Below are 23,973 nucleotides of genomic sequence, written 5' to 3'. Positions count from 1 at the left end.
ATCCACCCACCTCAGCCTCCCAAAGTGCTGGGATTACAGGCATGAGCCACCGTGCCTGGCCCAAGGCTTGACCTTTTGAGCCTTAGGATCACAATCCTAGGATGTGAGTTCAGGAGGTGACTTCAGTGCATGCAGGGCAGGGACAGTCTCTGCCACCATGAGCAGGGGGTGCATTGGCTCTGCTGCTTATTGATTGGTGACCTTGGGTGAGTCCCAGACACTCCTCGCTGGGGGAGTGGATCAGTATCAGCAGGGGAGCCAGGGGATGGCTGACCCTGGAAAGGACAGCCACACTCCATAGTGGCCGTATTCATAGATAGGGCCCTGAGGCCCAGAGACAGGGGAGTGACTTGCCCAAACTCCCAGAGCAAAGTAAGGACTTTCCCCTCCCACCTATGAGGCGGGTGCTGAGGAGGATCTGGGGACACTGCAGCTGGACGGCCTTGGGTTGTGAGAAATATGACACATTACCAAGGGGGGAGAATTTCATGGGACTCTGCCCTGGGGACAGGGGAGAAAGACAACTTCCTTCAGGGTAAAAACATCTGGCGGGGGAAGGACTGAAGGACTGGGGCACAGCTGGACTCTGATCTCCAAATCCACCCAAAGCAGCTCATCTGCTCCTCCCTGCTTGGCTGCGGGCCCCACAGGCCTGTGAATCCCCAGGCAGTTCTAAGGACAGACACCCTGCGCCGCGGTATCCCTCCCGCGACCATCCCAAGGCCCAGAGGTTCTGCTCTTGATGCGATTTAAGCCTCTCTCACTACTGTTGAAGTGGCTTTCTTTGATTCCTTCCTGGGACAGGCAATAGTTGGGTGCCTGAAAAGGTAAAGGACACAAAGTGGGAGTGGGTGGATATGGGGACCCTGGCTAGCTCCGAAATATTCCAGGACCCGACCCATTAGAGGTTCCCAAGGGGAGACAGCCAAGTCCAAGTCCTAGAAGACAGCTGCAAACGCTCTGAGGTTTCAGGCAGGCGCTGGGACAGGGGTTGCCTGAGGGCACTGGGAGGGGAAGGCCTTAAGGTAGGGTAGTGAGAGGGGAGGCTGGTGGAAGGTGCGGTGCAAGCCTCCCTCAGTGTCCACCCCTGTGGCTGGGTGGGGCCTGTACCTCGTTGAAGGAGGCCAGCAGCCCCGACGTCTGGCTGGAGAGGCCGAAGCGCTTCTCCACTGTGGAGATGGAGCTCTTTAGGTAGCCGGAGATCATGAGCTGCGCCAGCTGCAGCAGGCTGTGGCACAGAACGAACAGCTGTGGGGGGACCCGGAGGCAGGCAGAGGTGGGCGGTGCAGGGGGAGACAAAGAGGCAGAAGGAGGCAGAGGGAGCAGCAAGGAGTAGAGATGGGGAAACAGAGTCACAGAAAGAGACAGAGGGCGGGAGAGTGACCAACAGAAGAGAGACAGAGAGAGACCAAAGGAGACAGGGAGAGGAGGAGGGAGGGGAGAGAAAGAGAGAAAGGGAAGAAAGGCCAGAGGAGGTAGGGGGCAGAGAGAGATGGTTACTGGTGTAACTCACAGCTTCTCACACAGGACTAAAAACTAGAAAAGCTATCCTGGGTACACTCCAGGAGCCTGGGGGCTATTGAAGAGCCACAAGACCGAGAGTAGGGTCTTCCCATGGCCAGGAATGGTGGGAGCCCCTCTGACTCTCAGAGCCCCCCTTGGCTGGGCTGGACTTTCCTCCCAGTTCCACCATCCTGCCCCTCTCTCAGGGAAGCTATCTCAGATTCACCCAGATCCTTCTCCATCCCACCCCCACTAGTCCTCTCCCAGAGTGGCACTGTGAGGCCACCTGCACACACTGAACCCCACCCCAAACATCGCAACCTGCCTGGAGTCTCCTCCTGAAACTCTAAGAGAATTCCTAAGAGAAGAAAAACTTCAAAGGATTAAAAAATAGAGTATTTATGACAGAGCTTAATATATTCACTCTGTTCTGAGTCTCAGTTTCCTCATCTGTACAATGAGGACAACAGCCCGAGTTCCCAGGGATATTGTGAGAACTAAATAAGATCACGTGTGAGTGGCACCTGGCACAGCGCCTGGCACCCAGTGGGCTCCAGTGGACGTTGGATGTTCACAGCTGCCCTTGGTGGAGCTAGGACTCCCAGTATCCACATAGGTTCGGGATCCCCAGGGCACTTCTCTGTTTCTCTGGGAAAGTGGGAAACAAGGGGTGCCTCATCCTGTACTACTCCAAGAACACCCCTTTCCTCTCTGGGAGGAGCGAACATGTACTGGCCACCTTCCATGTGCCCGAAACCCAGCTGAGTGCTTTCGCAGATCATCCCTTTGATCCTCACAGCCACACATTCTATAGATGAGGAAACCGAGGCTCAGAGAAAGTCTTCCTTGGCATTACACCACCAGCACGTGGCAGAGCCTGCTCTTCTAGACTCGGAGGCCCCTGCCAGGCCCTGAGAGGTACCTTGATGTTATGGAACACACTTGGCCGCACGTCCTGAGGGTCTGGGCTGGCTTTGCCTCCAGGTGTGTTTTCTGTGCCCATTGTGGCTTTGGTTTCCTTGTCTGGTACCTGGGGTACCTCACCCGCTGGCCCTGAGGGACAGAAAACCAGGGAAAGAGAATAGATAGAATCCCCGAGAATGGCCCTGACCTGATTAGATAGCCCTAGACCTCAGAACCAAGGTCTTTCAGGAAGAAGAGTTCTTAGTGGTTGATGAGAATCTGAGAATCAAATCACCTTCAGCCTTCCTCATTCTTAGGTCACAGTTCTGGAAGGGACTTTCCTAAAAGGGTGTGTATCCCTGTGCCCCTACTGATCAAATACCTACTGGGTACCTATTTCACACTTCACTCTGCTCCCAGAAAAACTTCCCTTCTAGGGAGAAGCTGCTGACCTCTCTACACAACACACCTGCAGGTAGTGGCCCCAGCAGTAGGGTAAGCCGTGAAGACTCTCAGCCTGCCTTGGGTTGTGAGACATCCTGTGCTCTTGGAGACTGAGTCTGGGCCTGGGACTGTCTGGCTCAGTCTAGGATCAGAGATCTGGGGCAGGTGCAGGGTCAAGGCTAGGTCCATAGTCAGGGAATAAAGGCTTTTCTGGGGTGTATTGGAGTAGATTTCAACCCCTGCACAGGGAACCCCTGTGCATGTCATCACAGAGCTAACCAGCCAATCCCCAAATCACACCATCAGACCATGTTGCTGGTCAGGGCAGAAAGGGCCCTCTGAGCTCGTCTCACTTAACACTCTTGTGGACAGAGGCCCATGGGGTGATAACTGAGGACACAGAGCTGTCTTGGACCCTTGGCCTCCCTTATGCATGTTGGCTTTCCTCACATGGTAACTATGGTAACCATCAGTATCTCACTCACTGCAATGAGAGGAAAGCTGAGCCCCTTCAGAGGCATTTCCCAGGGTCTCCTGAGCTCACTCTCAGTGGGGAGCCCAGAAGTCCAACCTTGAGACTCCACCCCTCTATTTAGACTGAAACCACCTGCTCCTCCTGGCAGCCCAGGCCTCCTTGGTCTTCCTCCCCTTCTGCGGCTCCACTTCCTGCCGGAAGCCTCCATTGTTTCATGTCCCTCTCACCACCGGCAGGAGTTTCCTTTCACTCAGCATGCTTTCTGGAGCCTGAAAATTGACCTCAGGATTCCTCTGATCTGGGGGACTCTCACTCTATCTCCAGGGCTAAAGACAAACTCAGGGAGGGGGCTACGGAGGCCCTGAACCACCACAGGTGAAGTTTTTGTGCTCCTCTTACAAGGTACCTGGGAGCCTGATGATTTTTAAAATTGAGATGTAATTCATAGCCATAAAATCCACCCTTTTAAAAGTGCACAATCCAGTGGGTTTTAGTACATTTACAAAGCCATACAACTATCTCCACTATCTAATTCCAGAATATTTTCATTCACTCATAAGAAGTCCCGTACCCATCTGTAGTCACCCTCCATTCCTCCCTCTTCCCTGACAAACACTCATCTACTATTTGTCTCTATGAATCTGCCTATATTCTGAACATTTCATATAAATGAAATCACACAATATGTGGCCTTTTGTGACTGGCTTCTTTCACTTAGCATAATGTTTTCAAGTCTTAGGTATTAGAAGCATTCATGTACAAATTTGTATGGAGACATACATTTTCAATTCTCTTGGGTGTACACCTAGGAGCGGAATTGCTGGGTCATATGTTCATATACAATAATGCTATGTTTAACCATGTGAGGAACTGCCAAACCATTTTCCACAGTGGCAACACCATTTTACACTCCCTCCAGCAATGTCCCAATTTCTCTACATCTTTGCTAATACTTTCATTGTCTGCCTTTTCAATTATAGCCATCCTCATAGGGTAGAGGTGGTATCTCAGTGTGGTTTTGGTTTGCATTTTTCTAATGACTAATGATATTGAGCATCTTTTCATGTGCCTACTGCCATTTGTATATCTTGCTTTGGAGAAATGTCTATACAAACAGGTTGAGGAATTTGGCTGAGGAAATGGAAGTGCGTGTGGCTAGGGAGGAGTCCCTCTGCGGGGCATAAACACTCAGAGGAAGCAAGGAACTGTTGAAACAAAACTGACACCTGACGAGGAGACGGGAAATTGGCCTAGGGAAGAGGAGTGTCATGGGACACTCAGTGGGAGTCACTTTAAAGGCAAGGAGGAAATAAGGCAGTTCAAAGCAAAGGCTCCCAGAGGAGGTGGAGGGGACCATTTCTGAGCCTCAGCTCCTCTCACCAGCCGCAGTGGGTTTCCTGCTGTAGTCTGGGCTCCATGCCACAGGCTTTCTGTGCACTGGCCCATGAACCCTCTCCACAGCTCCGTCCCTTTGGTGTCTTATTATCTCTATGCTTCTGATAAGGACACCCAGGCTCAGAGGAACTAGCTTTGCTGGTTAGCATTGGTCCCAGGACTCAAGCCCAGGTAAGTGTTAAACTCAACATCACTCAATGCTCCTTGTACAAGTTTGACAGGGGGAAGAAGCACAGTGCTTTTCTCTGTCTTGGCCCACCCAAACCTAGCCAAGTCACTTCATAGGTAGCAGTGCCAGTCCACCAAGGGGCCAAGCCAACCAGGTGAGAGAGCGGGAGCTGAGGCTGGGAGCAGAAGTCCTTGACCTGGAGCCCCAGCTCTGAAGGAAACCCAAGGAATGGATGGGGGAGAGGGGTGGAAGCCTGTGGGCCAGCTCAGAATGTGAGGCCCCCGCCTCCAGGCCAGACCCTGGACCCTCCACTTAGCTTCCTGGGTATACTGGTGGCATCCTTGCTGTGCCCCAGCCTGTCTAGCCCCAGTTCCAGCCCCCTGGCCTCTCACCTGCCCACTCATGGAGCCTGCTCACCTGCCTCAGGTGATCTCCCACTCCAGCCTCACCTCTGGCTCTCCCTGAAGCTTCAATCCCAGCCTTTTCTGCCAAGGCTCAAAGCCTTCCTGGGAGTACTTTATCCTTTAGAGATATGGCTGTTTGTGGAGGGCAAAGTCCACAGCCTGTGCCTCTGGGCAGGGGAGGGAAGCACTGGCCACATTCCTCCGGGTTCTGAGAGGAGCACGAGTCATGTATTGGGGGTCAGCTGGTCACTGAATGGGGCTTGTCAGGCAGGCTGCCCACCCCCTCCGAGCCTTTCCTGTGGGCTGGGGTCTCTGCTGACGCGCTGACAGCAAACCTTCGCCTCCCTGACTCAGGGCGGAACTCCCCTTGGAAGGATGGTCCAGTCCAGGACTGCGTGTCCTCCTGTGGAAGGGCACTGAGACCCTGCCCTGTGCTGTGGGGCCTTTGTCAGGGGCCACCCCTGACAGGAGGATGGGACGGCCATGGGACTGAACCTGGGCTGGGCAGGCGGTTGCCTGCGGGAATGAAGGGACCTGGGGCAGAGAGCCAGGCCCTAGTTTAAAAAACCCAGTCCCTCTCTCTCCCAGGTGGGCAGCTAAGTTTTGGGGTCCCAGGTAGGCCAGGTGGCTCCAGGGGCTAGGGACCCACAGCCCGAGCTGGCCCGCAATGGGTCTGTGTGTCTGACTGTCAGTCGGTCACTTGGCTGATCACTCATGCAGGCACATCGTGTCCACCTGCTGGTAAGCCAGCCAGCCGGCGGGCTACTGTCTTTCAGGAGAGCTGTCCGTTCAGGCCGTCAGTCAGCCACCTGCCTGCAGCTCCTCATAAGACAGTCAGACAAGTTCCTGAAAGTCTGTCAGCCACAAACTTCGTTTCCCAGGTATCTGGTCAGTCAGAGACTCACCCTTCAAGGGGCTGCCCTTCATGGGTAGAGTCAGCCTTCTCCACACCACCTGAGTCTGGGTGATGAGGAGCAAGGTTTCAGAGACCAGCCTGACTGCAAGGACCGCCTTCCTTTACCTGTTCTCTGTGGGAAAGGCCCAGGATTCTGCCTCCTTTGGCTGCCTCCCAGCAGCAAAGGACAGATCTCAGGGAAATGTGAGGCTGAGAATAGGCTTTAAGGCCTCAGACCTGGGTTGGAATCCCAGATGTGCTACAAGCCCACTGTGTGAGCCTGGGCACATCCCTGAGCTTTCTGAGCCTCAGTTTCCCCATTTGTAAGGTGAATATAACAGTATTTACTGATGGAATTCAGGACACACTATTCTCCAAATATGGCACCTTGGCCACATTTGAGAAAACAGTAGAAGCAGGTCATAAAACCTAGGATAGTCACCCCACTCTGACCTTCTCCCACCTTTCACCCTGAAATAGGTCATAAGATTCTCATTTGAGAGTTGCTGTCTTTGTACCTGGAGAAAAAAAAAACAGCCTTAACTTTGAAGATGCAAGGACACAGAGAAGAATCTGAACAAACAGGCCTTGCTAGGTTCCCCTAAGTGTATCACCATTAGCTCACACACTCTTTGTGCAATACTTCCACAACTATATACTTCTTCATCAAACTTGGCATAAAAAGTCACAAGTTTTTGACATTTTAGGCTAGATGATTAAAAAATAATAAACCAGCCTGGGCAACATGGTGAAACCTCATCTGTACTACAAATGCAAAAAATTAGCCAGGTGTGGTGGTGCATGCCTGTAATCCCAGCTACTCGGGAGGCCGAGGCAAGAGGATCACTTGAGCCTGGGAGTCAGAGGTTGCAGTGAGCCGAGATCATGCCACTGCACTCCAGCCTGGGCGACAGCGTGAGACCCTGTCTCAAAAAATAAATAAATAAATAATTTAATTTAATTCAATATAATAAAAACTAAAAAGTTTAAGAATACACACGTTTTCCCATTTCTTTGGGTCTTCATTTCTGAAGGCCCCTGTGTCATGTAAAACTTATATTAAATAAATTTGGGCCAGGCGCAGTGGCTCACGCCTGTAATTCCAACACTTTGGGAGGCCGAGGTGGGAGAATTACCAAGCCCAGTAGTTCCAGAGTAGCCTGGGTGACATGGTGATACCCCATCTCTATGTAAAAATAATAATAAGTAAATTAAATTTTTAAAAGCCAAATAAATTTGTATGCTTTTCTCCTGTTAAGCTGTCTTTTGTTATAGGGACCTCAGCCACCAGCCTAGCAAAGAGTGAGGACAAGAAATCTCTTCTCCTCTATACGACCTCAAAGAGGTAAGGCCTTTGGGGCAGCTGGCCTGGCATATAGGTGGCCCTTGCTCTCTTTTCCTGATAAATATTCAAGCACATCTGAGGCAATCGGGCCCAGCTGGATCCATCCCCTTCCATACACACCTGGTCTTCCTCCAGGTAAACCCCTCCATCCTGACATCGCCATTCATCCATCTCTGGATCATCTCTCTCCCTCTCTGGGCTAGGAGGCAGTGATACAGGCTTGAAGCCCCCAGCTACCATGCAGAGACTGTAATCCCTCCTTCCTGGTGCAGAAAGCATCTCCTGAGGATGAAAGCCATCTATCCCCACATTCAGCCTGACAGCTAAAAAACTCAAACTGTACCTTACCGTCAACATTCACATGATGGTATTTGCTATTTCACTGTCTTCATTAGCAATATTTTTCCTCTTCCTAGACTGTCCGTCCAAAGCAAATGGTTTGATTGTTCTTTAGAGAAACTTCCTGAAAGATGGATCAGCCCTTCAAGGGAAGAGGCTGTGGCCATCAGATTCTCAGACTCTCTCCCCACAAAATTCAAAACCATTGAATTGAGATTCTTACCCATCTCCATCTCCATCTTCATCTTGAGTAGGGATTGGGTAAAATAAGGTTGAGACCTACTGAGCTGCATTCCCAAAGAGTTAGGCATTCCAGGTCACAGAATGAGATAGGAGGTCAGCACAGGGTACAGATCATAATGACCTTGCTGATAAAACAGCTTGCAGTAAAGAAGCCGGCTAAATCCCACCAATGCCAAGATGGCGATGAGAATGCCCTCTGGTTGTCCTCACTGCTACACTCCCACCAGCACCATGACAGTTTACAAATGCCATGGCAATGTCAGGAAGTTACCCTATATGGTCTAAAAGGGAGGCATGAATAATCCACCCCTTGTTTAGCATATCATCATGAAATAACCATAAAAATGGGCAATAAGCAGCCCTCGGGGCTGCTCTGCCTATGGAGTAGCCATTCTTTTATTCCTTTACTTTCCTAATAAACTTGCTTTCACTTTACAGACTCACACTGAATTCTTTCTTGCACGAGATCCAAGAGCCCTCTCTTGGGGTCTGGATCCAGACCCCTTTCTGGTAACATCAGCAGCAGATGCTGGGCAATCCATTCCTCATGATAATGGCAGACACCTCCCTCCAGAGGTGTTGGGGTGGGAGGCAGACAACTTCAAGGCCACAAGCCCCTGCCTTGGGCCCTTCCTACCTCCTAAAGTTGCTTGGGGTTCCCTGGGCCTGCAGATCCCCCTGCCAAGCTCCTGCAGCCCAGCTCATCTCTCATCTCTCCCTCCATAAAACCCCACTCCCAGGCCAATTTCTGCCGGTCACTCTCTTGCATTACTTATGTTTCCCTCTTATCTGCCTGACTAGGCAATAAACTCCCCCAGGGCAGAGGTTGTCTTGTACTCCCCCAGTCCTGGTGGATCATGTTAGTTCCCTGCTGAAAGCCTCTGGGTGAGAAGACTTTGGATTCAAATATTTGTTTTGTCATATCGTAGCTATGTGACCTAAGACATCTGATTTAGCCTCTCTAAGCCTGTTTTCTTCTCTGTAAGTGAGTGAGCAGTGTCTATCTCCCAGTGTTTTTATTAGGATTAAAGGAAAATGTCCTATGCCTGGTATACTGTGGTCCTCAACAATGGTTAGCCCCTCCCCAACTCCCAGCTGCGTCTGCAAACCGTGAGTACAGGCTCAGTCCCAAGGAGGTCAAGGCTAGTGGAAGCCAGTCCCATCCCACGTACCCCCCACCCTAGTGAGCATTATTCCCTGGCTCCAATAGATTCTTGCCATTCCCCAAATTCATCATGTTCTTTTCCACCTCAAAGCCTTTGTACCAGCTGTACCCCCTCAGCGTGGAGTGTTCTTCTTCCCCAGCAAACCACTTATCTTTCGAGGCCTGGCTCACGCCTGGCCTCGTGGTGGCTCACACCTGTAATCTCAGCACTTTGGGAGGCTGAAGCAGGCGGATCACCTGAGGTCAGGAGCTCGAAACCAGCCTGGCCAACATGGTGAAACTCTGTCTCTACTAAAAATACCAAAATTAGCCGGGCATGGTGGCATGTGCCTGTAATCCCCGCTACTTGGGAGGTTGAGGTATGAGAATTGCTGGAATCTGGGAGGCCGAGGGTGCAGTGAGCCGAGATTGTGCCATTGCACTCCAGCCTAGGCAACAAGAGTGAAACTCCGTCTCAATAAAAGAACAAGATTGTTGAATTGAACTAAACTAAATGAAGGGGAAGAGAAGGCTGGAGCACGGGGTCTGTGGGTGGGGACTGCGGTGGTGTGCATGAGTTGGGATGGGGGCAGCATAAGGGCCCTGAATGCTCCAGTTCCTTGTTCGGCCTGGCCCAGCATTCTGGAGGAGAGAGAGTCAAAGGCAGGAAGGGGGCATGTCTCCAGGCATTGGGCTTGGCTGTCATATTTGGGAAATTCCTCCCAGCAGGACCTTGGGTGGTCTGCTGGGAGGACAATAGCATGCTTGAGGTCCAGCTTTGTGAGACTCCAGCTGTTGTTTCTTGAAGGAGATCTGGCAGGTTTGCGGAGGGGCCAGGCAAACTTTCTGGTGGTTTCCCAGCTCAGTCAGGGACCCTGAGCTGAGACTTCCTGTTCCCAGTTGTAACCCTGGCTACCCCATCTAGACCCAGGATGACCTAAAAAATAGCAACTAGGGCCTGGAGGGAGAGTCTCTCTATGCCTAAAACAAGGAGCCAGAGGCTCAGAGATAGGCAGCTATGGCTCAAGGCCATGCTCTGTTCCCTCCATGTGGTCCCAGCTAATCTCTCTCTCTGCTTAAATTGACCCCTTAAGGGGTCCATGTTATCCCATCTCACTCGGATCATGAAGCTGTAGTGCTCCAAACACAAAGTGACCCAAATGACCGTCTTCAGGCTGTTTTGGCACCAGAGACCCTGGGGTCAGGGCAGGCTTCCTGCAGAGCCAGCTCCCTCAGGCCTGTGTTCACCAGGCACAGGCTGGGAACATTGGAGCCTTCAGTACAGATTTGTCCAGAAAGAGGGGAAGAGGAGGCCAGGAAGGGCTCTGTTACCAGTGGAGGGCTCAAGTTTGAGCCCCAGTTCTGTTGCTGAGTAGCTGCATGGCCTTGGGCAGGTAACAGAACTCCTCCTAGCTTTTATTTCCTCATTTGTTGTTGTTGTTGTTGTTTTTGAGATGGAGTCTCACTCTTGTTGCCCAGGCTGGAGTGCAATGGTGCAATCTCGGCTCACTGCAGCCTCTGCCTCCCAGGTTCAAGCAATTCTCCTGCCTCAGCCTCCAGAATAGCTGGGATTACAGGCATGTGCCACCACACACAGCTAATTTTTTGTATTTTTTTTTTAGTAGAGATGGGGGTGTTTCACCATGTTGGTCAGGCTGGTCTCGAACTCCTGTCCCTCATTTGGAAAATGGGCCCAGAGTGCTTTGTCATCATAAAAGTGCTGCACATGGTCAGGCGCGGTGGTTCATGCCTGTAATCCCAACACTTTGGGAGGCTGAGGCAGATGGATCACGAGGTCAGGAGTTCGAGACCAGCCTGGCCAACATGGTGAAACCCCATCTCTACTAAAAATACGTAAATTAGCTGGGCGTGGTGGTGAGTGCCTGTAGTCCCAGCTACTCGGGAGGCTGAGGCAGGGGAATCGTTTGAACCCGGGAGGTAGAGGTTGCAGTGAGCCGAGATGGCGCCATTGCCCTCCAGCCTGGGTGACGGGGTAAGACTCTGTCTCAAAAAAAAAAAAAAAAAAAGTACTGTACACATGATTGGGGTTATAATGAATGTTCCCAGGACACAGATTCTCTGGGCCACTGAAGCAGGGCCACTTCCTCCTCAGATACTTTCTATAGCTCCCAATTGCCTTTAAGAAAAAGTCCATGTGCCTAACCTGGCATACAAGTTCCTTGTGACTGGGCCCCATCAACTTCTTTGGCTTAACTTCCCAAGATGTTGCCCAGTGACCCCCGCTCCTCCAACGGTACTGGGCAGCTCACTAGCTCCACAGACATGCAGGTGTAGTCACTTTTCTAAGCATTTGCAGTGCTATCTCCTTCCCTGGCCATGCTCACCCTGTGTGGGATTGGTGGAAGGGAAGAGAAACCACAAGGGCAATGGCACGGAGAGGAAGAGCTCTGGTACCAGGCAGACCTGGGGGCTGGCCTCCACTCTGCTGTTTACTTTGGGGTGAGCTTGGACCTTGCTTGCCCCCTCTGAGCATCAGTTTCTCACCTATTGAAAAGGGGAAGGACATTTCACTGAGTTCTCTTAAAGCCAGTGATGCAGTGCTGGAATTTGAACCTGGGACTGCTGGTTCTTTCCCTCGCCCCACCTGTCTGCCCTAGAATGGCTTACATTTGAACACAGTTGGGCTGGAGAGAGGAAGAGCAACACCGGAAACAAGGAGGGATGAACCTCAAAGAGAAGGTCATCAAACAGCATATGGGAGAGGTTACCCCCAGCTGGAAGAATCTGGAACGGCTTCCTGGAGGAGTTGGCATTTGGAAGAGTTGGAAAACAGGGCAAATGTCACCAGAATGGGATGTGGGCAGGGGCTTCCTGAGCAAAGGTGAACAGGTGGGAAGATGAAATCTCTGAGTCAGACTGTGTGTGTGTGAATGGCTGCCCCAGCACTTGCAGGGAAACTGCTGCCTAAGGGGTATGTGGTGAGTGGGTGGAGGGGCTCTGCTGGAGCCGGATCTGAACTTCACTCCTCTCTGGTGTCTGCCCTGACTGGGACAGCTTCCCCTCTCCCTTGGGGACTCTTCCCAGGCTGCAGGCTCTGTGTCCTACCCCACCCACATTCCCACACCCCTCAGAGTAGTGTGGTGAGCCTGGCCACAGCCCAGAATGGGTCTCGGGAAGCAAGGCTAGAGATGGCACCCAATGGCCCACCAGGCAGATGCTGGGGTCAGCTTCCTGCTGTCTGTGTGGAAGGTCAGTGGGCACCTGGAGAATATTCCAGAGCTGGGCCCTGCAGGGGTCAGAAAAATAGTACTGGGGGGACTTGTGGGGAGGTGTAGTGCAGCCAAAGTCTCTAGTTAGTTCCCACACTCCCCGCTCTCCATCCCTCCCATCCATACTGAGCCAAGGCTGATGGGGAATTTGGTTTGTCAATGGCCCATTCACACCGCCCCCCCAACCATCCCACCCAAATCTGACCTCATTCTCATCTGTCCTGTGAGGTGCCCCGAGAGGAGGCATCCATCCCACCCTTCCTGCCGTACTGCAGTCCCCAAGCCATGGCTGCGTTCTCCTGGAGTCCCTGCAGCTGCTCCTCAGCTGGGTCTGTCTCCATGGCCTATGAAGCTCTCCCTGCTGGGCTTCTGGGAGCAAGTGGGGCCTTGCCCAAATGGCTGTGAGGCTCACACAGCCCAGGGGAGGATCAACAGCTGGGAAAGAGGCCAAAGGTGACTGCTATAGGGCGTCTAACCTGGAGTACTCCCAGTAGAAAGATCCTTTGTTTCTTCTACCCATACTGCCTTCCCAGAAAGTGTTGGGCCAGGTGCTCTGTTCCCAGAAACACTGCCCTCGCTACAAGGCGATTCCTTGTCACCCTGCAGGCAGAGCTTCAAGACCTTTTTCCTCCAGCCTCCTCCCCACTCTATAGTAAGAGACCTCACTGCACAGAGACCCATGCAGGTCTCTGCAGGTCACTCTCAATCTCCTGGTCTTCTGGGTGGATCTTCTGATGCTGCCTGCAGGTCTGTCTGTAGCTCTCCGTCACCTGTCCCCGTCTGATTCTCTTTCCTGCTCTGTCTCCTGCCTCTTTGTCTCTCCCAGTCTCTGCTGCAGCCCTCTCTCCCGGTTTGACCTCCCTACCTTTCCCTGCATTCTCTCGCTGATACCTGTTGATATTGTGTTCTCCGACCTCCTGTGTGCCTCTTCGTTTGAGCCTGCCTGTCTGCACTGTCTGACTACACTTTTCTCTTTTTCTCTGCTCTGTCTGTCTCTATCTTTGTCTCCTTTGAGAGGGGAAACGGCTTGAAGAGGGGGTCAGGGGCCTGTCTTTCTGTTGTCCTCTAAGTCTCGGTCTCATCAACGAGGTTTGGCTGGGTTCCCTGGCTCCAGCTGAGTAAATCGTGTCCCTTCCTGCTCCTCCAGTCATTCACTCATTCATTTAACACACCTTCACTGAACTCCGGCCATGTGCCTGGCTCTGTGCCAACAGCTGTGAGCACCCATCCCACCCACTCTGGCTCTACGGCCTCACCCTTTTCTCTGGGAACATGTCCCCCAGGCTTGCTCTCCATGGCCCTTCCTTAATTTGTTCGGACTTACCTATCCTGGGTCCCATGACTGCTGGAGTGCAGTGAGCTCCAGCCCCTAATTTAATCTCAGGACCTGGAGCTTAGCAGGGGAGAGGAAGCAAATCTTCTCAGGGGCTCCTGGAGACAGCAGCAGGTGAGCCACAGCAGGGATGCAATAACGGTGGGAGCTCCAGACACGGGGTCAGTTCTTCTTGGGCCACACAGGACATCAGACTTGTCCAGACACAGGTTAGGGAGTCTTGCTCAAACTCAGCCCCAAGTATCTCCAAGTGTTTGTCTCCCTGGGTCACTTGCTCCTTCTGTCTCTCCCTTGCCCTGGCTCCACGGTTGTATAGAAGGCTGGGTTTGTTCAAGTCCAGCCTCTCTGTGAAGAGGAAGCTGCACCCCGCCTCCCTGAGGCTCAGCCTCAGCCTGTCCTTTTCCAGCCTCTTGCCTCAGCATTTCCCTTAGGTATTTTCCCCTGCTCTGTTAGCAGCAGAGAGGTGGGGGCACAGGGGGGATGCTGATGGGTCTCCCCAAGCTCCCCAACCTTCCACATTCATCCCCCAGTCTCCTCACTGCACTCCCATTTCCCACCTGAGCCCTTCTCCTACCAAGCTCTTGTTCCCTTCACAGAACTTTTGTTGCCCTCCCTTGATAGGAGGGCCCCATAGAGAGCCCTTGTTCCCCCATCTAGCAGTTGTCCTCTTTCACTGAACCCCTGTCCCCCTCAAGCCCACGTGCCCTCTCACTAAATCCCTCATCTTCTCCCTGAGCTCCAAGGATCCACAGCAAGAAGGGGCTCTGTCCACTAAGTATCCAGTGGCAGCCTGCCTGGGTGGAGCTCATGGTAGAAGGTCCATCAATTTCAGCCATCTAGGCAAAGGAGGAGGGGAAGAGAATGGAAAATATGAAATTCTCAGAGTTTCCTGGACTGAGGACTGAGGATGGAGGTTCAGGAGCCAGAGAGATCTGGGTCCCACCTCAGTTGTTATTTGCTGGTCAAGTGATCTCAGGCAAGTCCCAGCATCTCCCTGAGCGTCCATTCTCTCATCTATAAAGAAGGGACAGTAATCCCTTGCAGAGCCACTGTGAAGGTTCGGTGAAGGACAGAGAAGCCAAGCCTGCAGGCCTGGAGCTCAGAGAAGGGAGTGGCAGAGGTGGGGCTCCGAACAGGGCAGCAAGGGAAAGCAAATCCACTTTGCCTTTCCCAGCTTGCACAGCACTTTCACACACAAGGCCCCACTGGGTCCTCCCCTTGACACTGTAACATCAGGTTATTTATTCCCTGATTTTACAAATGAGGCATGGAGTCTCAGTAACTTGCCAGAGATCACCCAGCTAGTAGGTGGTGGGTGCCTTGAACCTCTAATGATAGAACCAGGCTTTTCCCTCCACCCAGGATATCTTCTCTGAGGAAGATCTGGGTTTCCCCAAATCCAAGATGCAGAAGTGAACCTGACCCTGTCTCTGGAATAAAGTCTTTGCGTGGAATGAGGATGTGGGTTTGGAGTCTAACTTTCAGGGTGCAATAACAGAGAAACATACACCAGCTCCACTTGGCTCCTATTTGCTGTATGAGGGTGCTAGTAGGATGTAGGGAATGTGTGAAATAATCACAGATCTCCCTGGCACTCAGGAGGCACTCAATAGATACTTGTTACATGAATAAATGAGTCTTTGAGAAACCAGAAATGTGAGTACATGACCATTCCACTGAGAAAGGTCAAGAACTGGCTTGGATTAATAGAAAGACCAGACCCTCATGGGTTTGACCCAGGGTCTGACCTGATCAGACCCTACTTGAGAAAACCAAATTGGGTCTATCTCTCCAAATCCTTCTGACGAACGTCAGCATTGTGAATCCTCATGAAGACTGGCGGGGGTGCAACCTTCCAGACTCCAAATTACAGGTATGAAGATCCCTTTAAACTTTCTGGAAGCCCAGTTACCCCCACCTTGGCCCCAGGGCCTGAAGAAGTTCTGTGCATGGAATGGTCTTGGTAGGGGGACCAGCTTGTCTGGCTAAGTTTATCTGATTGATCTTTTTCTTTTTGTTTGTTTGTTTGTTTGTTTGTTTGTTTGTTTTTGAAATGCAGTCTCTCTCTGTTGCCCAGGCTGGAGTGCAGTGGCACAATCTCAGCTCACTGCAACCTCGGCCTCCCAGGTTGAAGTGATTCTCGTACCTCGGCCTCCCGAGTAGCTGGGATTACAGGCACGTGCCACCACACCTGGCTGATTTTTGTATTTTTAGTAGAGACAGGGTTTCACCATTTTGGCCAGACTGGTCTCAAATTCCTGGCCTCAAGTGATCCACCCACCTTGGCCTCCCAAAGTGCTGGGATTACAGGTGTGAGCCACTGTGCCCGCCCGGCCTATCTCATTGATCTTTGAGTCAAGCAATGCACAATAACCCCCAGGGCATGGTATATACAGTAGCCTCTGGCATGAGCAGCTTTCATTTATTACCTCAACTTCCCCAGGCTGGCAAAGCCTGGTCCAAGAATATTCCTGAACTTGAGCTGTGGAACTTGAGCAAGGGTCAGGTACCCAGGAGCCTCTGAGACATAGGCTAACATGCCTTCAGACCAGCTCCCTGGTGAACCCCATAGTCGGCTCCTGCTATGAGTGGCCCAGGTCTGAGGTTTGACCACACTGGTTTGCACCTGGGCTTTGCCATTTGCCAGTGTGTGGTGTTTGCTGTGCTTTGTTCAAGTATTATATGAAGGTGCATTTTACAGAGCGCCACGATGCGTGTGGATCACAACACCATCTGTGGATTCCCACAGTTTACAAAACTTGATGCCTTTTTTAGAGTCCTGTGCCGTTGGCAAAAGCCTAGCACAGTCTGCAAACCTCGGCTGCTTCCAGGGCCCCATAACATTCACAGAGCCCTGTGTCTCATGCTAAGCCTGATGCTGTTCATAAAACCCTGGGCTGTTTGCAGAACCCAAGCCCTTACCTTCTTCAAGCCAACCCACTTAGGAAAATGCCTTCTGATAAACCAGGAAAAATAGGAGACTCTTCATTTTATAGAACTATCTGCTCTGGGGTACAAAGGAAGAGGGCTGGGCCCAGATTAAAGACCTCAAGGCTGGTCTCAGCTCTGTCATAATCCTGCTGTAGGACTTTGGGCTGATCCTTTGTCCTCTCTGGGTCTCTGTCTTCCCATCTGTTAAATGGAGATCCTGACATCCAACCCTCCACCTCAGGCCTGTCCTGAGGATCACTGTGAGATGGCTCAGAAGACGGGGTGTGGGCGGGGTGAAAAGGGGAAGAGTGCCCAGAGGCTTCTTCCTGAAAACGGCTCCAAACTACCACCTCAGCATCTTTGTTCCCACTTCCCTTCTGGCCTGGCAGCCAGGAAGGGGATATCTAAAAATGAGCCATGGGCCAGGCAGACAAGCGAGGGCCTCAGCCAGAGCCTCAGCCTTCCCTGCCCGCTGGATGCTGCCTTGGAGTCAGACCGTCGCTGTGCAGACACACTCCCGTGTATGGCTCGTTAACTCTGCTCAAGGAAGGCAATGTCCTCCTTATTTCACCCATGAGGACACTGCCGCTCACAGAGGCCTCATGTCTTGCCTGAGGCTCCATGTCAAGTATATGGCAGGGGCTGGGATCTGAGCCAAGGGCAGCAAGGATGGATGCCTGGTCCTCAGAAGTCGGAGGTGGAAGGAATATGGAGCTCATTTAATTCAACCTTTCCTTTTTTCAGATTGGTAGACTGGGGCCAGGAGAGTGTGGAGATCACGGGGGAGTCACTGTTTATCTCTCCCTAGATAAGCAGGCTTCAGTCTCTCTAGCTGGTTGATGAGAAACAGGCCCCATCCTGCCAAGCATTCAGGGCTTCCCCTGCCTTTGTTGGCACAACTTCTCCATCAGGACACAGCTCATCTCCTAACTGCGAGGAGAGGAGCAGGTGTGCAGGCCGGGTGGGTGTCCAGGTTGCACAGCCACCTAACCTCAACACAGCCCCTGGCTCTTCCAGTGCCCCACCCTTGTATAGCCCCTGCCGTGCTCCCTGTAGCAGCTTAAACCCCATCTGGAGGTTTCTCCCTACCTCCAACCACTCCCTTTGGAAGCTGCCTCCCCCAGCCACCACCTCCAGGCTCTTTCGCCCCACAGCAGCCTTCCCCTGATTCCAACTCCCTCCATCTCTCAGCAGTTTCTCCCTCCAGCCTATGGGAAAACACACTGTGTTGGAAACTGCATCCTTCCCTGAAAGTGACAGCTCTGGGCCCCAGAAAGAGCATGAGCTTGGGTGTCAGTTCAACCCTGACCCAGTACAAAGCTCTCTGAGGCTGTTTCTTCATCTGTGAAATAGAGATGAAACGTGATAACTGAAAAATCATGAGATCTATAAATTTGGAGAGAAGACTTTATTTCTTTTCTTTCTTCCTTTTTTTCTTTTTCTTTTTTAGAGACAATGTCTCACTCTGTCCCCCAGGCTGAAGTGCAGTGATGCAATCATGGCTTACTGCAGTCTCCATCACCTGGGCTCCAGCGATTCTCCTGCCTCAGGCACCCCAGTAGCTGGGACTACACGTGCATGCCACCCCGGCTGGTTAATTTTGTAAGTTTTTGTAGAGACAGCGTCTCACTATGTTGCCTAGGCTGGTCTCAAGCAGTCCTCCCACCTTGGCCCCCTGAAGTGCTGGGATTATAGGTATGAGACTTTATTTCTCATGAAGAGTTACAGCCTACAAGGTGGCCATTCTGATGGGCTGGGGAGCTCAGTCTTTGGCAGAGTCCAGAGACAGACACTTCAAGGGAGGAGGGGTTGGACAGAAATTTAAGCTGAACGCATTGACCAAATATACATATTCAACAGGTTATAGGAGGAGCTATGAATATTCATGAGGTGATCCTAATGTATGCATATGGAATAAACATGCATGTTTCATAAGACCCATGTTCACCTTGGGTTGGAGACTTAACATTCAAATGCATATATACATCAAAAGGTGAAGCAAGGACATGAAGGGCTCAAGTGCGGTGTCTATAAACTGGCCAGAACCCATCCATGGTCGGTGGTCTCTTATCAGAAAAAATTCCTGAAACAGTCTCTAGTCCAATCAGAGCTATAGTTATGGCTGGTGGAACGGGGATCAGTTAGTTAGTGTCTGGCGGTGGAGGAGCTGCAAATTGTTTTACCACTGCTTATCTCAAGACCAGGGCTTATTTAGCTGCTAGAGAAAAAGAGAAATGTTGTGGCAGTGAGAACATAGTTTATTCTTTAGTGTATGGGTGTGGGACTTAACCCTTGCCTGGCGTGACCCTAGGTCATGTTTATAGTTTGGCATCTTATTGCCACAAAGAGTCCATTCTGTCAGTCTTATGATCTCTGTTTTAACATTAATGCTGCTCAGGTGTAGTGTCTAAGCCACAAAAGGGAGGAGGATAAACGAGGTGTGTCTCTTGTCCCTTCATGGCCAAGAACTCAGTTTTTAAAGGTTTCTCTGGGGTCCCCTTGGCCAAGAGGTGGGTTGTCCATTCAGTGAATTGAGGGGCTTAGATTTTAGTTTTAGTTGACACAAGAAGCCTCCTGGCAGGACTGTCCTAAACCCTGTTATCTTGCCCGATCTTCTCCTAAGTATGTGGTACAGCTTCTTCCTCCTGGGAGACCGCCCCCAGCCTCGCCCAGTGACCTGGGGCTGGTCACTTGCCCTCTCTGATCCTTAGTGCCATTGTCTGCAAAACACCTTCCCAGAGCTGTCATATGGCTTGGATGAGCTGATGGATAGATTAGTGCTTCCAAAATTCTGAGAGCTGAGCAGATATGAGCCATTATTAATACAGCAGTGATGGTGATGGTGATGACTCTTATAATTCTGGAAGCAGAGGATGAGGAGGAAGTAAATCATGACACGTACGTGCCAGGTCAGCCTGATCTCACTGACAACCCAGGAGAATAAATCACTAGGAAGGCCCCCTGAGGTAGGAGGAAGCTCAGGAGAAAAATGGGGACTCTGCAGGTGGGCGGGGGGACCACGGTTCACAGCTGTTGTTCTACAGGTGCTGCAGGGCTCCAGCTTGGGCACTGGCTGGCCTTCAGCCCCCAGCCCTGGCTCTGCCACTGACATGCTGGTCAGGTCTCATTCCCTGCCTGGTCCTCAGTTTCCTTATTATAAAATGGTGGAGGGTGGGGGGTGCAGGTGCAGTGGCTCATGACTACAATCCCAGTGCTTTGGGAGACCGAGGCAGGAAGATTACTTGAGGCCAGGAGTTCGATGCAAGCCTGGGAAACATAGTGAGACCCTGTCTCTACCAAAAATTTAAAAATTAGCCAGGTGTGGTGGCACATGCCTGTGGTCCCAGCTACTGGGGAGGCTGAAGTGGGGAGGATCCCTTGAGCCCAGGAGTTGGAGGCTGCAGTGAGCTATGATCGCACCACTGTACTCCAGCCTGGGCAGCAGAGCGAGACCCTGTCTCTAAAAAAAAAAAAAAAAAAAAAATTTTAATGGTGGTTGGGGATGGGGGTGGTGGGGGTTGGGGGAAGAGTCTCATTCTGCTCTGCCCCTGTCTTTTGGAGTCTCATTCTGCTCATGGCCCACATGAGCTAATGGCTGTGCCACTGTTTTCCTAAAGTGTCAAGTGTGGGATTACAGTTATTAATGTGTCTCCTTGGAGAGAGGACACGGGAGAGGGGTGGTGCAGCAAAGGCTGGGAGGGATGCCGAGGGTGGGAGTTGGGGATGGGGTGAGTGGGGGTGGCAAATGCGCGATGGGAGCAAGCCCCTGCCAGGCCGTGGATAATTTGGAAGAAGGGCCCTGCTCCCTAAAGACTTTGCAACACTGCCCCCTGGGGGCTGGAGAGGAAGCCTGTGCCCTGACTTTTCCTCTGAGGCTTCAGTCAGGGAGGGGACCTTGAAGGACCACTGTCCAGAGGCTGAACTGGGTGGGCCAGAAGAAACCCAGCTAGGGCAGTCATTGCCTGCCCGCGTTCCCCACCTGTCCATTCCACTTCACGAGCCTCTCAAATCTGCAGCCCTGTCCTGGCCTAGCCCACCACTGCTCTTGTCTGGGCCATGCCCCGGCCTCTTTCCTACCTCCAGTTTCACACCAGCCCATCTTCTTGCAAGCCAGAGGGAACTTTCTGACCCTTAAATCCTACCATGCCCCTTTCTGTGTAAAACCCTGACCCAGCTCTCAGTAACCCCAGGAGAGACCATCCTTCTCAGCCTGACACTGAGTGGCCCCTGTCTCTCTGTCCAATCACATCTTCTGCAGGTCACTATCCTCACTCGCAGATGAGACATTACAGGAGTGTTTAGAGCAAGGAAGGCGCTGGGGTAGGACTTCTCGGGTGTGACTGCTGGCTTCCCCCCTTAGTAGCTGTGTTATTTAATTCTTAGTTTGCGGTTTTTTTTTTTTTTTTTGAGACAGAGTCTTGCTCTGTCACCCAGGCTGGAGTGCAGTGGCATGATCTCGGCTCACTGCAACCTCTGCCTCCTGGGTTCAAGCAATTCTCCTGCTTCAGTCTCCTGAGTAGCTGGGACTACAGCTGTGCACCACCACACCTGGCTAATTTTTGTATTTTTAGTAGAGACAAGGTTTCACCATGTTGGCCAGGCTGGTCTGGAACTCATGACCTCAGGTGATCTGCCCATCATGGCCTCCCAAAGTGCTGGGATTACAGGCGTGAGTGCCCAGCCTGCAGTACTTTTTTAAACTGTAAAGTATATATAACATAAAATGTTAACGTAAAATTCAGTGGCATGAAGTACATCTACACTGTTGTACAACCATCCTCACCATCCATCTCCAGACCTCCCTCATCTTTCCAAACGGAGACTCAGATTCATGTGTTCTTCATTCCACCTCTGTTTTCTCATCTGACGGATGGAACTAATCACTGAATGTGTTTTGCATGTGCTTACAGGTGGGTAATAGGTACTCAGGCAATGTTACGATTGTTTTCTTCTCTTGAGGAAGCTGCTCTGGAAAGTCAGTGCAGCAGCACCACATGGAGTGATCTCTAGAAACCCACAGCCTACCGCTGCCCGGCTTCATTTCTGTGGCTCGGGCAGATTTTCTGAGAGCTGCTGGGGAAGCATGCCGCCCATCTCATCTGGGAAGATGAGTCACTTCCTCTGCTGCTGGGTTATGAGCCTAGGGATGGGGAAGGCAGGAAGCAGAACACAAGCAGCTGCTTCTCAGCTGGGCGGGGCCTCCGCAGTGGCTCACATAAGAACCACGTGGCAAGGTGGATTCTCTCTGGTGTCTGGACCAGGGTAGGACACCCTAACTTGCCTGTGTGCCAGCTCTCTCAGGAGGGGCTGGAGCAGGCTAACTTGCTTCCATCAGTGTTGCTTATTCAGAGCACAACAGTTTGCGTTTTGCTTGATTCTCTCCTTTTCACATCATGCTCCCAACACATCATCCGCCCCCCACATTCTGTGCACACACTTCCAAGATTCACTCACTCCAACTGTTCCTGGCATGCGCGTCTAAAATCATCTCACCTTCCAAGTGGCACTGTCCTCATTTAAATGCATGTCTTTTTTTTGTCCCCTAGGTGGAACTAGGGGAGAGACCAGGCCTCAGGCCTCCCTGATGGATCCTGGTTTCTGGCCTGCTCTCTGGCCAGGGGAGCAAGTGGATCTCTCCAGCAAACAAGCTGAATGGTGGTGTCAGAATCAGAGCTGGGTCCAGACAGGACGCTTAGAGGGCCACAGAATCTCCTCCTAAGAGTCCTTCAGCTGGGGACTCTAGTCTTTTCAGTTAAAGACATCAACCATCCTCCAGAAAGAGCCAGCGGTGGCAAGCAGTTAGCTTAAGCAAACCAGTCAAGTCTTTGGAGTAGCTTAGGCTGGAACTCGGCCAACATTAGTTGTGTGGCATGGGGCAGATACTTCATTTTTCTAAGCCTCAGTTTCTTCTTCAAAATGGATGCAATGATCATGACTAACACTCATTATTTGCCAAGCACTGTTCTAAGCACTTGTATCAGCTCAGTTAATGCTCCAAACAACCTATTATAATCCCCAATTTACAGATGAGGAAACTGAGGTACAGAGAGACCTGCCAAGGTCACACAGTTGGTAAGAGGCAGATCAGGATCTTAACCTAGACAATCTGGCCCCAGAGTCCAAGCCCCTAACCATGGCACTTAACCGTCTCAGAGGGCAAATTTGAGGACTCAGTCATTATCCACTGGTCCCTAAGCCATGAGGTTGAATACAGAATGATCCAAGTACTAAGCTGCTGCCTTTGACTGACCCTGGGCATTTTACTTTCCTTGTCAAATCTCAGGTTTCCCTCCTACAACAGGAGGGGCTTGAACCCCAGCTCCGGCTCAGCAGAGAGCTCACCATTTGCCTGGAAACCTGCCCCTCCCTGGTCCCTGTTCTGAGCCCCTCCCATCTCCTCAGAGTCAGCCCCCATCCCTGCAGCCTGTGTGGCAACTCTGCCTTCATATTTCTGTCTGTCTTATTCCCTCTTCTCCCTAAATTCAAAGACCACTCCTTGTTCCTGTAGAACCCTTGCACAGCCTCCTTAATCATCTGTGACTCCCGTCTCCCTAGTTCTAATCCATCCTCCACATTCTACTGGAGCCATCTTTCCAAACACTAATCTTTTTTTTAGACAGGATCTTACTCTGTCATTCAGGCTGGAGTGCAGTGGTGCCATCCTAGCTCACTGTAGCCTCAAACAAGCAATCCTCCCACCTCAAGCTTTCCAAGTAGCCGGGACCACAGGCATGCACCACCATGCACAGCTAATTTTTTTTATTTTTATTTTTGTAGAGACAGAGTCTTGCTATGTTGCCCAGGCTGGTCTCAGACTCCTGGGCTAAAGTGATCCTCCCACCATGGCCTCCCAAAGTGCTGGGATTACAGGTGTGAGACACCTTGCCCAGCTCCCAACCCTAATCTTATTGTGCCCAGCCATTCTCCTCAGAGCAAAGCCTATTTCTTAGCCTAACATTTGCTGCTCATCACCACACACCTATAACCTACCTTTTGCACTTTCATCCCTGGCGCCTGCATATGCACAGTTCCCTCAGCTCAAATGCCCTTCCTGCCTTTTACCACTGGATAAGCACAGATCCATCCTTCACCTGATAAGGACGACCTCCAATCCCTCCCAGCACCACCCAAGTGTTCCCTGCTTCCTCCTGAAAGAATACACACGTGCTCACAGTCATACCCTAGTTCTCCACGTGTCCTTGGCTGACCAGCATCGAGCA

At 51.6% G+C, this 23,973-nt stretch overlaps 1 protein-coding gene across 6 annotated transcripts in view, besides 2 other annotated features; it reads right to left on the bottom strand.

Moving 5' to 3' along the window:
* SLCO2B1 (solute carrier organic anion transporter family member 2B1) overlaps positions 1 to 14,104 on the bottom strand; it is a 55,443-nt gene extending 41,339 nt beyond the window's left edge. Inside the window, exons 1-3 of one of the 6 annotated variants that reach the window (NM_007256.5) lie at positions 13,814 to 14,104; positions 2,426 to 2,556; positions 1,111 to 1,248 (exon numbers count right to left, since the gene is read on the bottom strand). In NM_007256.5, the coding sequence (NP_009187.1) occupies positions 1,111 to 1,248; positions 2,426 to 2,556; positions 13,814 to 13,829 (285 nt within the window). In that variant the 5' untranslated portion in view covers positions 13,830 to 14,104. Of the gene's footprint in view, positions 1 to 1,110; positions 1,249 to 2,425; positions 2,557 to 5,281; positions 5,380 to 8,095; positions 9,167 to 13,813 lie in introns of those variants that run through there. The other 5 variants (XM_017017157.2, XM_047426333.1, NM_001145211.3 and 2 more) reach the window with 5 other exon arrangements.
* Positions 12,565 to 13,264: an enhancer, noted in NCBI's record as "H3K4me1 hESC enhancer chr11:74862992-74863691 (GRCh37/hg19 assembly coordinates)". NCBI's record gives its function as "activates a minimal SCP1, AML or CMV promoter by ChIP-STARR-seq in naive and primed H9 embryonic stem cells {active_cell/tissue: H9 hESC(naive and primed)}" and the evidence as "EXISTENCE:reporter gene assay evidence [ECO:0000049][PMID:30033119]".
* Positions 21,420 to 22,619: an enhancer, noted in NCBI's record as "MED14-independent group 3 enhancer chr11:74853637-74854836 (GRCh37/hg19 assembly coordinates)". NCBI's record gives its function as "activates an origin of replication core promoter dependent on BRD2, BRD4, P300/CBP and CDK7 cofactors, and independent of MED14, by STARR-seq in HCT116 cells {active_cell/tissue: HCT116}" and the evidence as "EXISTENCE:reporter gene assay evidence [ECO:0000049][PMID:35650434]".

The sequence above is a fragment of the Homo sapiens genome, chromosome 11 (genome assembly GCF_000001405.40).
Source record: "Homo sapiens chromosome 11, GRCh38.p14 Primary Assembly".
In the NCBI taxonomy this organism is placed as follows: Eukaryota; Metazoa; Chordata; class Mammalia; order Primates; family Hominidae; genus Homo; species Homo sapiens.
Note: the sequence above shows the minus strand (reverse complement) of the source record. Positions and strands in the feature narration are given on the sequence as shown.